At 45.4% G+C, this 15,316-nt stretch overlaps 1 protein-coding gene across 3 annotated transcripts in view; it reads right to left on the bottom strand.

Annotated features, from left to right (window-relative positions):
* ZNF264 (zinc finger protein 264) overlaps positions 1-15,316 on the bottom strand; it is a 31,347-nt gene that overhangs the window by 12,809 nt on the left and 3,222 nt on the right. For 2 of the 3 annotated variants that reach the window (NM_003417.5, XM_047439724.1), the window contains one exon: positions 4,546-4,641. The exons of the other annotated variant lie outside the window; for it this stretch is intronic. In NM_003417.5, the coding sequence (NP_003408.1) occupies positions 4,546-4,641 (96 nt within the window). The remainder of the gene's footprint in view (positions 1-4,545; positions 4,642-15,316) is intronic. 3 annotated transcript variants of the gene reach the window in all.

Raw genomic sequence — 15,316 nt, 5'->3', positions numbered from 1 at the left:
TCAATTGAAGGCTCATAAGGAAAGAGGTAAGAGGACCTGGCTTGACACAATGAGTCTTGTATGCCTGAGGAACAGCCTGGTGAAAAGATTAGCACCATACACATGACCAATGGCCAGGCTGCTGTGTATGGTGCTCATCTTTTCACCTCAGCCCCCCAAAGCCTGTAATCCTAGTGCTTTGGGAGGCCGAGGTGAGCAGATTACTCGAGCCCAGAAGTTTTAGACCACTCTGAGAAACACGGCAAGCTCCCATCTCTAAAAAAAATTTTTTAAAAACAAAACTAAAAACACATTAGCCAGGCATGGTGGTGCAAGCCTGTGTAGTCCCAACTACTCGGGAGGCTGACATGGGAGGATTGCTTCAGCCGCAAAATTCAAGACTGCAGCAAAGTATGACTGTGCCACTGCACCCAGCTTGGGCAACAGAGCAAGACCTTTTCTCTTAAAACAAACAAAAAACCCCAAATACACATGATCAAGATGAAGAAAATTATAAAATCTTATTTGAAGACAATAAAGATGATCTAGATCAATGAAGAATTTAATAATACGAACTGACAATTCGACCCAAATTATATAAATTCAATATAATTCCCTGTAAAATACCAACTATACTTAACTATGGAACTTGATGGTCTGTTAAATTAAGGAAACGAAGCTAGAAAAATTGGGTAGCCACATGGAGAACGAAAATAACTGCATTGCTATCACACTATATATTCCAAATCAACCTCACTGAAAAAATGTCAAATGCCAAGTTTTAAAACTTTTAGAATAAAATATATTTTTAATATTGAGGTAAACCAACATTTTTTATACAAGACAAAAAAATCATTAATTATATAAGAAAAGTCATAAGTTAGACTACAGTAAATTAAGACCTTTTGGAGAAAGATACTTTAAAGAGAGTAAGAGAACAAAATTAAAAACTAGAAAATATTTTTCAGCATATATAAGTGATAAAAGGTAAGGATAAGAATGTACTAAGAACCCCTACCAAGCAGTGAAAGGAAAACAGGTTAATGGAAATAGGCATTCATCATAAAATAAAAAATGATTTCTATTTTCACAGAAGAAAATATAAATCAACCAAAAATCATAGTAAGTTGCTAAAACATTACAGCAGTGAAAGAAAGGGAAATCAAGAACACGAGACTATTCTGTGTCCATTTGATGAGCAAACATTGATAAGCCTTATAATGGAAAGGATATGGGTCAACGGAACCTCTCTTTCCTGGTTAAGTGCAAATTGGCATAAGCTCTTTAGAAAACAAAGGGAATGATCTTGCAAACTTGAGCATTTGCATAGCCTACAAACCAATAATTTCACTCCAAGAATGATCAAAAAATGCACCTCCACAAGTGGAAAATGAAATACATATATGAATATCCACAGTATCACTGTTTCTGTGAATGAAACATAGAAAATTATTATTAATTTTTTTTTGCCTCTGGTTCATGGTCTCTCATGAATTATTTTTATTTATTTATTTTTTTGACACAGGAGCTCACTGTCACCCAGGCTGGAGTGCAGTGGCATGAATAAGATCACTTCAGCCTCGACCTCCTGGGCTCAAGAGATCCTCCCACCTCAGCCTCCTGAATAGCTGGGACCACAGGCATGAGCCACCATGCCCAGCTAATTTTTTTAATTTTGCAGAGACGGGGTCTCACCATGTTTCCCAGGCCGGTCTCAAACTCCTGAGCTCAAGTAATCCTCCCACCTCAGCATCCCAAAGTGCTGGGATTATGGTGTGAGCCACTGTGCCAGCCAAATCTAGACAATTAAATGCCCACATAGTAAATGAATGTATCAATGAATATATAAATATATCATGAGCCACAAGCATTTGTTTTATTTTCTTCAATTGTAAGAAACTCGAGGCTGGGCATAGTGGCTTACGCCTGTAATCCCTGCACTTTGGGAGGCCGAAGCAGATGGACTGCTTGAGGCCAGGGGTTTCAGACCAGCCTGGGCAACAACAGTGAAACCCTGTCTCTACTAAAAATATGGCCAGGCGCAGTGGCTCACACCTGTAATCCCAGCACTTTGGAAGGCCAAGGCGGGTGGATCACCTGAGGTCAGGAGTTCGAGACCAGCCTGGCCAACATGGTGAAACCCCATTTTTATTAAAAATACAAAAAAAGCCGGGCGTGGTGGCATGCACCTATAATCCCAGCTATTCGGGAGGCTGAGGCAGGAGAATCGCTTGAACCTGGGAGGCGGAGGTTGCAGTAAGCCGAGATTGCGCCATTGTACTCCCGCCTGGGCAACAACAGCAAAACTCCATCTCAAAAAACAAAACAAAACAAAAAACAAACAAGCGAGCAAACAAAAAAACCCACAAAAATTAGCCGGGTGTAATGGCATGCACCTGTAATCCCAGCTACTTGGGAGGCTGAGGCACAGAGACTGCAGTGAGCCAAGATAGCACCACTGCACTCCAGCCTGGGCTACACAGAGAGACTCTAAAAAAAAAAAAAAAAAAAAAGAAAAGAAAAAAGAAGAAACAAGCATATTTTTAGGTTGAGTAGAGAATCACAAAACAAGCAGAATATAAATGAAGAAAGGATGTCCATGAAAGGAAGTGTGTTCTAGACCCTGGTATAGGAATTGGCCATGACTGGGGCAAGACCTCTTCCAGTAAGGAAAAGAGAAGTTGAGATGAACATGTAAGGGCTGCTGATCAAGCAATACAAGACAGGAGACTTTCTTTTCAACCTGAAAGCCTGCTAACACATCAGCACTCACATGCTGAGACATCTGTGCCTGGAGACAAAAACTGTCTACTTGGCTGGATGCAGGGACTCATGGAGGTGGAGGGGTTGACTTGTCTGAGGTTGGGGCCAGTCCCCTAATCTGCCTGGATGGCAGAACCATTCACAGAAACTTGGGAGGTGGCAGGAGTGAGCAAGATCATGGGTTCCTTGTTAGGCATGTTGAGTTTTGTGCTTTTGAGATTTTCAAGTGCAGATGTGGCACTGAGGAGGGGACAATCTGGAACAGACTCTGAAGGGCTGAACAGGGACTGCACAGACACTCAGGGTTGGATGAGCAGCTCAAGGAACCCACGCGGGCAGAGGCCAAGGCTCTGCAGTGGCACCAATCCACACACATGACAGATGGCCTCAGTGCCCTCAGCAGCCTGAGTGTGGGACACAGAAGGTCAAATGTCACCCTGAGGTTTTTGGAAAACAGGAGATATAGGAAGACATGGGCAAACTACTGCTTCTTAGTGTCTGATTGACACTCAGGGAATGGGTGGAAGGAGAAGGTGGGAGAGGCTGATAGGCAGAATATAAGTGGAAAGAGAAATTGGGAGAGTAAGAAAGGCCCTATTCCCTAGAGTTCAGAAGGAAATGTAACATAGCATCACTCTTTAAGGTTAATAATGACATTCGGATGAGTCACTTACTATGGCTCAGAAACTATCCAGTTTTATGCATTAATGTATCACATAACATCTTTAAACTGCCCAATGACATAAAAATGATTTCTAGGCCAGGCGCGGTGACTCACGCTTGTAATCCCAGCACTTTGGGAGGCCGAGGCGGGTGGATCACGAGGTCAGGAGATCGAGACCACGGTGAAACCCCGTCTCTACTAAAAATACAAAAAAAAAAAAATTAGCTGGGCGTGGTGGCGGGCGCCTGTAGTCCCAGCTACTCGGGAGGCTGAGGCAGGAGAATGGCGTGAACCCGGGAGGCGGAGCTTGCAGTGAGCCGAGACTGTGCCACTGCACTCCAGCCTGGGTGACAGAGCGAGACTCCGTCTCAAAAAAAAAAAGATTTCTAATAACACTTTTCAGGAACAGACTCAATGTAGTGGACTGAGAGTAGGTGCTCACCAAACCTTCTGCTCTTCTCCTTGGACAAGCAGCTCAGCCACATTTCCCAGTCCCATGGACCCAAGCCAAATGCCTAGTTCCTGTGGGTGGAATGTGAGGGGAGTTGGTATTTCTGGAAGTGGGTTTAACTTCCCTTATTCCCTCAATTCTCTGCCAGCTCGAGGACGTTAGGATAATCTTAATGCAACAGGCTGATGACAGAAGGAACCTGGGTCCTGAATAACTGTGTCGTACAGAGCTCCTCGCTGACCCACACAGTCCCTGGTATGAGTGGGAAAGAGTTTTCATATGTGAACCACTGAGATTTTAGAATCTGTCTGATACAGCAGCTACTGTTAACTTAGCTGAAGTTATATACAAAGACAGGAGATCCTGCAACTTCATCAGGGCCACACAGCAGGTGACTGGCAAGCCACATTTCAGGCCCACACAGTTGGAACCCCTGAACACATCTTAGTTCTTAAATCTCACTTCTTCCCAGGCATGGTGACACTGTGATGGGGCTAGGAGGACAGAGAAAACACAGGTCAAAGGGCTCCATGGCTCTCAAATGGAACATTCTAGTGTGATAGAGTTATATAAGAGTTATATAGAGAGAGGCCACAATGAGAAGCTTCCCAAGAGATTCCAGGGCCAGTGGTCTCCATCCAGTCTTAAGCCAGAAGGGACTCCAACCTGCCCAGATCTTGGCTCCTACCTGGACAGGTGTCTTGGGAGAGGTCTTCCTTCCTGGTCCATGGCTCCTGCCCATGCTCTAGGTGGCAGATCAGCTCAGCTTTGGGAACAGGACACCCTGTTTATGGAGAAAGCAAGTGGACACATGGATGTGGGTGAAAAGAAATAAAGACCTTCAATCTAGTTTGGGACTTCAGGATGGAGACCAGACCTTGGAGTGAAGCTGCTCCTGTGCATGGGAATGAAAAGCTGGCATGTGACCTGGAAACCAAGGTTTCCATAATTACATAAATGCATTATGTAATTCCAAAAGTGAATACTGATAGAGTATCTTAGAGAAAAACTGATGTATTTAAATATTAAATATTGACTCTTTTCATTCCAAACAAGGTATGTGATTTCATTGATCTAAGTCTTATTTTTTTTACATCCTAAGCAATGTTTTATAATGCTCTTCCTCTAGACTAAAGAAAAAATGAGGATTCCAGCTGAGGATTTTCTCACAGCATCCCCAGGAAGTCCACATCGTGATCAACACCATTTTATTGACAAAGAAACCCAGGATCAGGAAGTAAAGTGATTTGCTGAAGAGCACAGAACTGGTGAATGGCTGAGTCAGTAAGGCCCAGGTCCTGCCATCTCTGCTGTCGGTGCTGTTTAACCACAAAGCTCCACAACGCTACCCAGAAAGTCCCGGGTCCAGGTATGCCAACGACAGTGATCTTGATGAGGATGACAATAACAGTACTGATGGCAACAGGATTGCAATGGCTCCCTGCACACAGCGTGGTCTCCCAGGTGCTGTTTTGAGCCCTTTTCACGTAATAACTTTATTAGTCTGTTCTCACGCTGCTAATAAAGACATATCCGAGACTGGGTAATTTATAAAGAGAAAGAGGTTTAAGGGACTCAGTTTCACATGGCTAGGGAGGCCTCACAATCATGACACAAGGCGGAGAAAGGCACATCTTACATGGCAGCAGGCAAGAGGGCATGCGTAGGGGAACCCCCCTTTATAAAACCATCGGATCTCATGAGACTTATGTGCTATCACGACAACACCATGGGAAAAACCCGTCCCCATGATTCAATTACCTCCCACGACACATGGGGATTATTACAATTCAAGGTGAGATATGGGTGGGGACACAGAGCCAAACCCTATCAATAACCCTTTACCCCAGTAACAACCCTGGGATGCAGATGTGGTAAATCCTCATCTCACCAATGAGAACACTGAGGAACAGACAAGGTCAGTCATTTGACCAAGGCCACACAGTTTTTTTTTTTTTTTTTTGAGACGGAGTCTCGCTCTGTCGCCCAGGCTGGAGTGCAGTGGCGTGTGAACTCGGCTCACTGCAAGCTCCGCCTCCCGGGTTCACGCCATTCTCCTGCCTCAGCCCGGGTTCACACCATTCTCCTGCCTCAGCCTCCCGAGGAGCTGGGACTACAGGCGCCTGCCACCACACCTGGCTAATTTTTTTGGATTTTCAGTAGAGACAGGGTTTCACTGTGTTAGCCAGGATGGTCTCGATCTCCTGACCTCATGATCTGCTCACCTCGGCCTCCCAAAGTGCTGGGATTACAGGCGTAAGCAACCGCGCCTGGCCATGGCCACACAGTTTTTAAAGAGCAGAGCTGGGGCTGGACACCAGGGTTCGGGCTCCCCTTCCAAACACCACACTAAGGAGGAAATTACTAGCACCACAGAGTGGGTGGTGGGTAGTGATGACGATGCAGAGATGTGAGCTGGAGGTCATCCTCAGGGACCAGCAGCCAGGGGGAGGGGCAGGTTCAGTGATTCCAGACCTCTGCATTTCATGAACCATTAAAAATTTAAAAAACTGAACGTTCTACTGTGATAGAGTTAAATAAGGACATTTACAGAAACATCAAATAGTATCTACTCTCACCAACATTTCATAAAAAGAGGACTTCTACTTTAAAAAACAAAAAACAACAACAAGAACAACAAAAAACCCTCAAAGGACAGCTTCATAGATGAAGGTTTATCTTCTAAACCGAGTAAGTTTAGGTTCATGTCAGATGAAAATACAGTAGTCATATTTTCTTGACGTTGCTCAGAACATCTTGAAGCCTTTTCAGACTTTGGGAGAGACTGCTCCTCTCAGGGACAGGTAATTTCTAGGATAATAAACTCCCCTGGGAACAAGCACATGCCTTTCATGTGCAATCCACCTAACCCCAAACCATACCCCCAACCACTTCTTTAACAAACTCTCACATACCAAGCCAGTATTTCCCCTGCCCTAAATCAACCCAGGGCCAAGTGCCAGACAACTAGAGATAGTCCCTATGCCCCAAACCTCACTGAAATTACTCAAACTAGCCAGCTCTAAACTGTTTACCATGCCCTGTCTTGCTTTTCCAGAAGAAACCCAATACGCAGGGAAAACTCTCTCTAATCATGTTTTTTCTCTACTCTCACACCATGACAATACAGAACAAGACTTCTATGACCAAATGTGTGGGGGGTTTTCCCCAAACTCCAAGCAGCAGACACCAGTGGGGGGTGTCCTCTAATTCTGTTCCCATACTATCCACGCAGGGATAGCTTCGGATCCCACAGGTTGAGGGCTGAGTCCACAAGACTGCCCCACCCTGCACTCCAGTCACAAGTCCAGGCCTCCAAAATGTCTGACTAATGGGCTTTGAGTTGGGGTTCCCGCGACCCCCTCTTTGGGTTCAACTAATTTGCTGGAGCAGCTCACGGAACTCAAGGAAACACTCATGTTTACCAGTGTATTATAAAGAATATTGCAAAGGATACAGATGAAGAGACTCCTAGGGCAAGGTGTGGCGGAAGGGGCACAGAGCTTCCATGCCCTTCCTGGGGGGACCACCTGGAAGCTCACTCAACTGTGACCTCTTGGAGTCTTTATGGAAGCTTCAAAACATCAACATTCCTTTCCCAGGGTATAGGGTTGGACCCACTCATGAGACCCACAGTCAGAAAGGTGGAGGAACGTTAGAGCGAAAGGAGGGCAGGAGGTCAGAGGCCTGACCCTGAGGCCTAACATACCCAGCATTTTAACAAAAGGGCTATAGGGGTTATGAATCAGGAACGGTGGACAAAAACCAGTATGTATCAGAATACCACACCCAGTTAAAGGCTTTCTCCTCCCCTGTGCTTCCAGCTGTATCCCCATGAGGCCCAGCATATGCCCTCTTCTTTCACGAATTGTAAATAATGAATTCTTCTTTCAATGTTATTAACCTCTCTGTGTCATCACTAAGTCACTGCTATAAATTAAAATCCCATGGGTACAAATTTGCTTTTTTTTGAGACAGGGTCTCACTCTGTCGCCCAGGCTGGAGTGCAGTGGTGTGATCATGGCTCACTGCAGCCTCTACCTCCCAGGCTCAGGCAATCTTCCCTATCTCAGCCTTAGGAGTAGCTGGGACTACAGGCATGTGCCACCACGCCCAGATAATTTTTTTGATTTTTTTTGTAGAGGCTGGGTCTCACTTTATTGCTCAGGCTGGTCTCAAACTCCTGGGCTCAAGCAACCCTCTTGCCTCCCATACTGCTGGGACTACAGGCATGAGCTACCACACTTGGCCCATAGATACAAATTAATACAACTGGTGCACCCAGCAGGCTGACTCTGCGCTCATGGGAAGGCTGAAGATCAGCTCACTAAGGGATTGTACCACACAGAAAGTTCTGCCCGGGGAAGGCTGCGAGATGCTGGCAGCCTTGTGCTTCAGCTGCGTCTGGCATTTGCTGCCATGGGTTTCTGGCCTAAAGTGCTGTAGGAATCCTAAAGGAGTGCTCCTCAGATCCTTCCAGTGTTTAAAGATGCCACAGTCTAGATACGCAAGGGCAGTAATTCCCCAGCTGGCACCGTTCTGGGACAGACTGATCTCCTTAGTCTACTTTTCCAACATAAACACACCTAGTTTCTGGGTTGGTTTACGGGGTAATATACAAGGCTGAGGCTCCTCACAAAAGGTAGTGAGTAGAGACTTCCTCTGATGGATTGTGTTGGGATACAAGTCCAATCAACCAAGCCAACACCAAAGTCACTGGTGGGCTGCTTAACTGAGTTATTTATTCTCTCTTCCCATCCTGTAAGAGACTAGTCATTTAGCGGGGGACTGATTACACTTGGGACAGAGGCTGTACCAGGGAGAGGCAGCTGCCTGGAGGCATCAAACCTCTTCCTCTCCCCAGCTTCTTTTTACTACCCAGGGACAGAAACTAAGATCCACTACTTCTGGATGCCAAAAGCCTAAAACACAAAGAGAGAAATAACGAAAAAAAGAAAAAGGCAGCTACAAACCCAAGGGGCAGAAAAAAGAAAGTGAACTTTTAAACCTTATGTACCATACAAATGCCAGGCCTAGCAAACACAATACCACCCTTATTTAGTCTTAAAAACTATATATATAAATATCTTCACATAAATAAGTTGTATATATATACACATACAATAAGTAAATTAAAACAATGTCCATAATTTGATCCAATTAGAAATCCAGCATTTATATACTAATGTTTATAACAAATCATATATGGTAATTATATATAGCACATATATAACAAATGTATAAAAAAAATTTTATTATAAAAAGTAAAGGGTGGGTGTGGTGGCTCACGCCTGTAATCCCAGCACTTTGGGAGGCTGAGGCGGATGGATCACTTCAGCTCAGGAGTTCGAGGCGAGCCTGGCCAACATGGCAAAATCCCGTCTTTAATAAAAATACAAAAACGAACTGGGTGTGGTGGCACACACCTGTAGTCCCAGCTACTTAAGTGGCTGAGGCATGAGAATTGCTTGAACCTAGGAGGCAAAGGCAGTGAGCCGAGATTGTGCCACTGTATTCCAACCTGGGCAAGACAGCAAGACAGAAAAAGAAAAGAAAAGAAAACGAAAGAAAAGGAAAAGAGAAAAGACAAGACAAGACAAGACAAGACAAGACAAGACAAGACACAAGACACAAGAGACAAGAGACAAAGACAAAGAAAAAGACAAGACCCAAAGGTCGGGGTGGGGTGGGGGAGTAAAACAGGGTACTGAGTGGCTTTTTTTTTTTTCAATTTATTTTAGAGACAGGGTCTCACTATGTTGCCCAGGCTTTGTCTCAAACTTCTAGGCTCAAGTGATCCTCCCATCTTGGCCTCCCAAAGCGCTGGGATGGCATTTGGGGGATGGCAAAAAAGGTTCATCAGAGTTTACAAGCTCAGTGTCCCCAGCTTCATCAGGGTTCTCCCACACATCCCTATTCCAAGTTTCAGGGTCCCATTCTTTTCCAATCAGTGCCCTCACTTTAACAGTAGACACCTGGTGAGGCTGTGCATGCACCTTTTGTTGCAGGTCAGCCACTCACATGACTAGCTTATGTCTGTTTTTCTACAATTTCAGCTTTTTCTCTACAGGAGATAAGACTCACTCAGGGCAATCTTAGCAGATTTGAGGCTTAGTATCTGCTTCTGAAGCCAGGAGTTAGAATCCCTGAGTTCATCATTTTTTCTTTTTTTTTTTTTAGGAGTGGAGGTTTAATAGGCAGAAGAAAGAGAAAGGAAAATGGCATCCCCAATAGTGGCAACATCCTCTCCCCGACCCATGCTGCCATCAGCCTTTCCACCTTTGTCTGAGGAGATAAACCCTGTGCTGCCTGAGGCAACAGTGATGGCCTCCCCTGAGGCAGTTGCCAGGCAAGATAATATCGATTCTCCTCTAGCACCCTCAACACCTTTGTTTGCTTCTAGACCTATAACTAAAGTCCCGATGGGCCCACAGAAGTGAGGTTCAGAGTGTGACCCATGGGGAGGTGAGCTACACTTGAATTGAGTTTTCTAATTTATATAAGCAGAAATTTGGAGAACAGGCACGGGAATGGATATTAAGGGTGTGGGATAATGCTGGAAGGAACATACAGATGCATCAGGCTGAATTTATTGATTTGGGCTCACTAATTAGGGATCCTGCATTTAATGTTGCAGCCTGAGGAGTTAAAAAAGGTTCCAATAGCTTATTTGCTTGGCTAGCTGAAATATGGATTAAAAGATGGCCCATCATGGGTGAGCTGGGAATGCTTGATCTCCCTTGGTCTAATGTAGAGGAAGGGATCCAAAGGCTTAGGGAGATTGGGATGATGGAGTAGATTAGTCACTTTAGACCTACTCATCCCAGCTGGGAGGGTCCATAAGACATAACCTTAACCAATGGCTTGCAAAATAGATTTGCGAGGGCAGCACCTGCATCTTTGAAGAGCCCTGTAATTGCCAGATCCAGCAGTTGGAATTTCAGTCACTCACCTACAAAAATTTAATACATTGGGAATAATTGGATCCCGAGGTGGCAGGGGCCAAGTGGTGGCACTCAACCATCAAAGGCAAGGTAGGCATAGCTATCATAATGGACAACAGAGACAAAGCAGCAATCAGAATAGTCTGACTCATGTAGATCTCTGGCGTTGGCTAATTAATCACAGTGTTCCCAGAAATGAAACTGATAGGAAGCCTACTGCAATCCTATTTAATTTATATAAGCAGAAAACTTCCAGGTCGAATGGACAAAAGACTAATTTGAATTACAAAAACAGAATCATGGCCCTTCAATTTCCAGACTTGGGCTAGTTTACAGACCCAGAACCCCTTGAATGAAGGGGAGGCCAGGTCCCTTGAGGAAGGACCCCACTACACTACTGACAATTTATGCTGTTAATCTTTCTCTCATCCTTCCCTAAGGAGACCTCTGGCTTTTTACCAGGGTAACTGTGCACTGGGGAAAGGGAAATGATCAGACATTTCGGGGACTACAGGACACTGGCTCCGAGCTGACGCTGATTCCAGGGGACCCAAAACATCATTGTGGTCCTCCAGTTAAAGTAGGGGCTTATGGAGGTCAGGAGTTTTAGCTCAGGCCTGACTTACAGTGGGTCCAGTGGGTCCCCAGACTCAACCTGTGGTCATTTTCCCAGTGCCAGAATGCGTAATAGGCACAGACATACTTAGCAGCTGGCAGAACCCCCACACTGGCTCCCTGTTAGGGTGAAGGCTATTAAGGTGGGAAAGGCCAAATGGAAGCCATTAGAGCCACCTCTACCTAGAAAAATAGTAAATCAAAAACAGTATCACATCCCTGGAGGGACTGTGGAGATTAGTGCCACCATCAAGGACTTGAATGATGCAGGGGTGGTGATTCCCACCACATCCCCATTCAACTCTCCCATCTGGCCTGAGCAGAAGACAGACGGATCTTAGAGAATGACTGTGAATTATAGAAAGCTTAACCAGGTGGTTGCTCCAATTGCAGCTGCTATACCAGATGTGGTTTCATTGCTTGAGCAAATTAACACATCTCCTGGTACCTGGTATGCAGCCGCTGACTTGGCAAATGCCTTTTTCTCCATTCCTGTCCATAAGGCCCACCAGAAGCAATTTGCCTTCAGCTGGCAAGGCCAGCAATATACCTTCACGGTCCTACCCTAGGGGCCTATCAACTCTCCGACTTTGTGTCGTAATCTTATTCAGAGAGACCTTGATCGCTTTTTGCTTCCACAAGATATCACATTGGTCCATTACATTTATGACATTATGCCGACTGGATCCAGTAGCAAGAAGTAGCAAACACACTGGACTTACTGGTAAGACATCTGTGTGCCAGAGGATGGGAAATAAATCTGACTAAAATTTAGGGACCTTCTACCTCAGTAAAATTTCTAGGGGTCCAGTGGTGTGTGGCCTGTCAAGATATGCCTTCTAAGGTGAAGAGTAAGTTGCTGCATTTGGTCCCTCCTACAATCAAGAAAGAGGCACAATGCCTAGTGGGCCTATTTGGTTTTTGGAGGCAACACATTCCTCATTTGGGTATGCCACTCCAGCCCATTTATCGAGTGACCCAAATGGCTGCCAGTTTTGAGTGGGATCCAGAACAGGAGAAGGCTCTGCAACAGGCAGGTCTAGGCTGCTGTGCAAGCTGCTCTGCCACTTGGCCCCTAAGACCCAGCAGATCCAATGGTGCTTGAGGTGTCAGTGGCAGATAGGGATGCTGTTTGGAGCCTTTGGCAGGCCCCCATAGGTGAATCACAGCGAAGGCCTCTAGGATTTTGGAGCAAGGCCCTGCCATCTTCTGCAGATAACTACTCTCCTTTTGAGAGACAGCTCTTGGCCTGTTACACTATGGGTCATCAAATCACCATGCAACCTGAACTGCCTACCATGAACTGGGTGCTTTCTGACCCAGCTAGCCATCAAGTGGGTCACGCACAGCAGCATTCCATCATCAGATGAAAGTGGTATATATGTGATTGGGCTCAAGCGGATCCTGAAGGCACAAGTTACATGAGGAAGTGGCTCAAATGCCCACAGACTCCACTCCTGCCACCCCACCTTCTCTCCCCCAGCCTGCACCGATGGCCTCATGGGAAGTTCCCTATGATCGGTTGACGGAGGAAGAGAAGACTAGGGCCTGGTTCACAGATGGTTCTGTATGATATGCAGGAACCACCTGAAAGTGGATAGCTGCAGCACTACAGCCCCTTTCTAGGACATCCCTGAAGGAGAGTGGCGAAGGGAAATTTCCCAGTGGGCAGAACTTGGAGCAGTGCACCTCGCTGTGCACTTTCCATGGAAGGAGAAATGAGAAGATGTGTAATTATATACTGATTCATGGGCTGTAGCCAATGGTTTGGCTGGATGGTCAGGGACTTCGAAGAAGGATGACTGGAAAGTTGGTGACAAAGAAATCTGGGGAAGAGGGATGTGGATGGACCTGAGTGGTCAAAAACTGTGAAGATATCTGTATCCCATGTGAGTGCTCACCAATGGAAGACCTCAGCAGAGAAAGGTTTTAATAATCAAGTGTATAGGATGACCTGTTCTGTGGACACCACTCAGCCTCTTTCCCCAGCCACCCCTGTCATCGTGCAATGGGCCCATGAACAAAATGGTCATAGTGGCAGGGATGGAGGTTGCGCATGGGCTCAGCAACATGGACTTCCACTTACCAAGGCTGACCTGGCTACAGCCACTGCTGAGTGCCCAATCTGCCAGCAGCAGAGACCAACACTGAGCCCTCAATATGGAACCATCCCTCGGGGTGATCAGCCAGCTACCTGGCGGCAGGTTGATTATATTGGACCTCTTCCATCATGGAAAGGGCAGAGGTCTGTCCTCACTAGAATAGACACTTACTCTGGATATGGGTTTGCTTATCCTGCACGCAGTGCTTCTGCCAAGACTACCATTCACGGACTCATGGAATGCTTTATCCATCGTAATGGTATTCCACACAGCATTGCCTCTGACCAAGGCACTCACTTTATGGCTAAAGAAGTGTAGCAGTGGGCTCATGCTCACAGAATTCACTGATCTTACCATGTTCCCCATAGTCCTGAAGCAACTGGATTGACAGAATGGTGGAATGACCTTTTGTAGTCATAATTACTCCAACTAGTGACAATACTTTGCAGGGCTGGGGCAAAGTTCTCCAGTAGGCCATGTATGCTCTGAATTAGCATCCAATATATGGTACTGTTTCTCCCATAGCCAGGATTCATGGGTCCAGGAATCAAGGGGTGGAAGTGCAAATGGCACCACTCAACATCATCCCTAGTGATCAACTAGCAAAATTTTGCTTCCTATTCCCGCGACATTACATTCCGTTGGCCTAGAAGTCTTAGTTTCAGAGGGAGGAATGCTGCCACCAGGAGACACAACGATTCCATTAAACTGGAAGTTAAGATTGCCACCTGGACACTTTGGGCTCCTCCTACCTTTAAGTCAATAGCCTAAGAAGGGAGTTACAGTGTTGGCTGGGATGAATGACCCAGACTATCAAGATGAAATCAGTCTACTACTCCACAATGGAGGTAAGGAAGAGTATGCATGGAATACAGAAGATCCATTAGGGCATCTCTTAGTATTACCATGCCCTGTGATTAAGGTCAATGGGAAGCTACAACAGCCCAATCCAGGCAGGACTACAAATGGCCCAGACCCTTCAGGAATGAAGGTTTGGGTCACTCCACCAGGAAAAAAAACCATGACCTGCTGAGGTGCTTGCTGAAGGCAAAGTGAATACAGAATGTGCAGGAGAAGAAGGTAGTCATTAATACCAACTACGACCAAGTGACCAGTTGCAGAAATGAGGACTGTAATTGTTGTATTTCCTCCTTCTTTTATTAAAAACATGTTTGTGATGTATACACTTGTACTAAGAAAACATCTGCATTTTATTTCCTTTATCATGTGACGTAAGATTTACTGACTTCATATCAGCATTTAAGTATTGCTACCTTTATGTAATAGCACTTGGGTTGGGGATTAGTGTGTTTCGGTTGCATGAACGATACTTGTATTATGTTAAGCATAATTATGACCTTATTGTCTTTATTTGAAGATTATGTATGATCTCAGGAGATGTGTATGGGTTCAAGTTGACAAGGGATGGAGTTGTGATGGTTAACAGCTAGGTCCAGCTAGGTGCCTGGCCCATGTTGAAGGCTTCCCATCCTGTGTTAACACAGTCACCAGAAGTCCCTAGCTCCAAACACTTGAAACGGACACTTGACAGCTGTTACCTCAAAAACATCATTTCATTTCTCTGAGCCTTTATTTCTGGATCAATACAATAATACTTCCCACCAGTAACAGTCGTTAAATTTAAAGAGAAAGTATTCAATGCTCAGTGTGCTCTGGGATTTTTATTAATGTGTCAACTTGATTGGATTGAAGGATGCAACGTATTGATCCTGGGTGTGTCTGTAAAGGTGCTGCCAAAAGAGATCAACATTTGAGTCAGTGGGCTGGGAAAGGCAGA

This window comes from Homo sapiens, chromosome 19, assembly GCF_000001405.40.
Source record: "Homo sapiens chromosome 19, GRCh38.p14 Primary Assembly".
NCBI lineage: Eukaryota > Metazoa > Chordata > Mammalia > Primates > Hominidae > Homo > Homo sapiens.
Note: the sequence above shows the minus strand (reverse complement) of the source record. Positions and strands in the feature narration are given on the sequence as shown.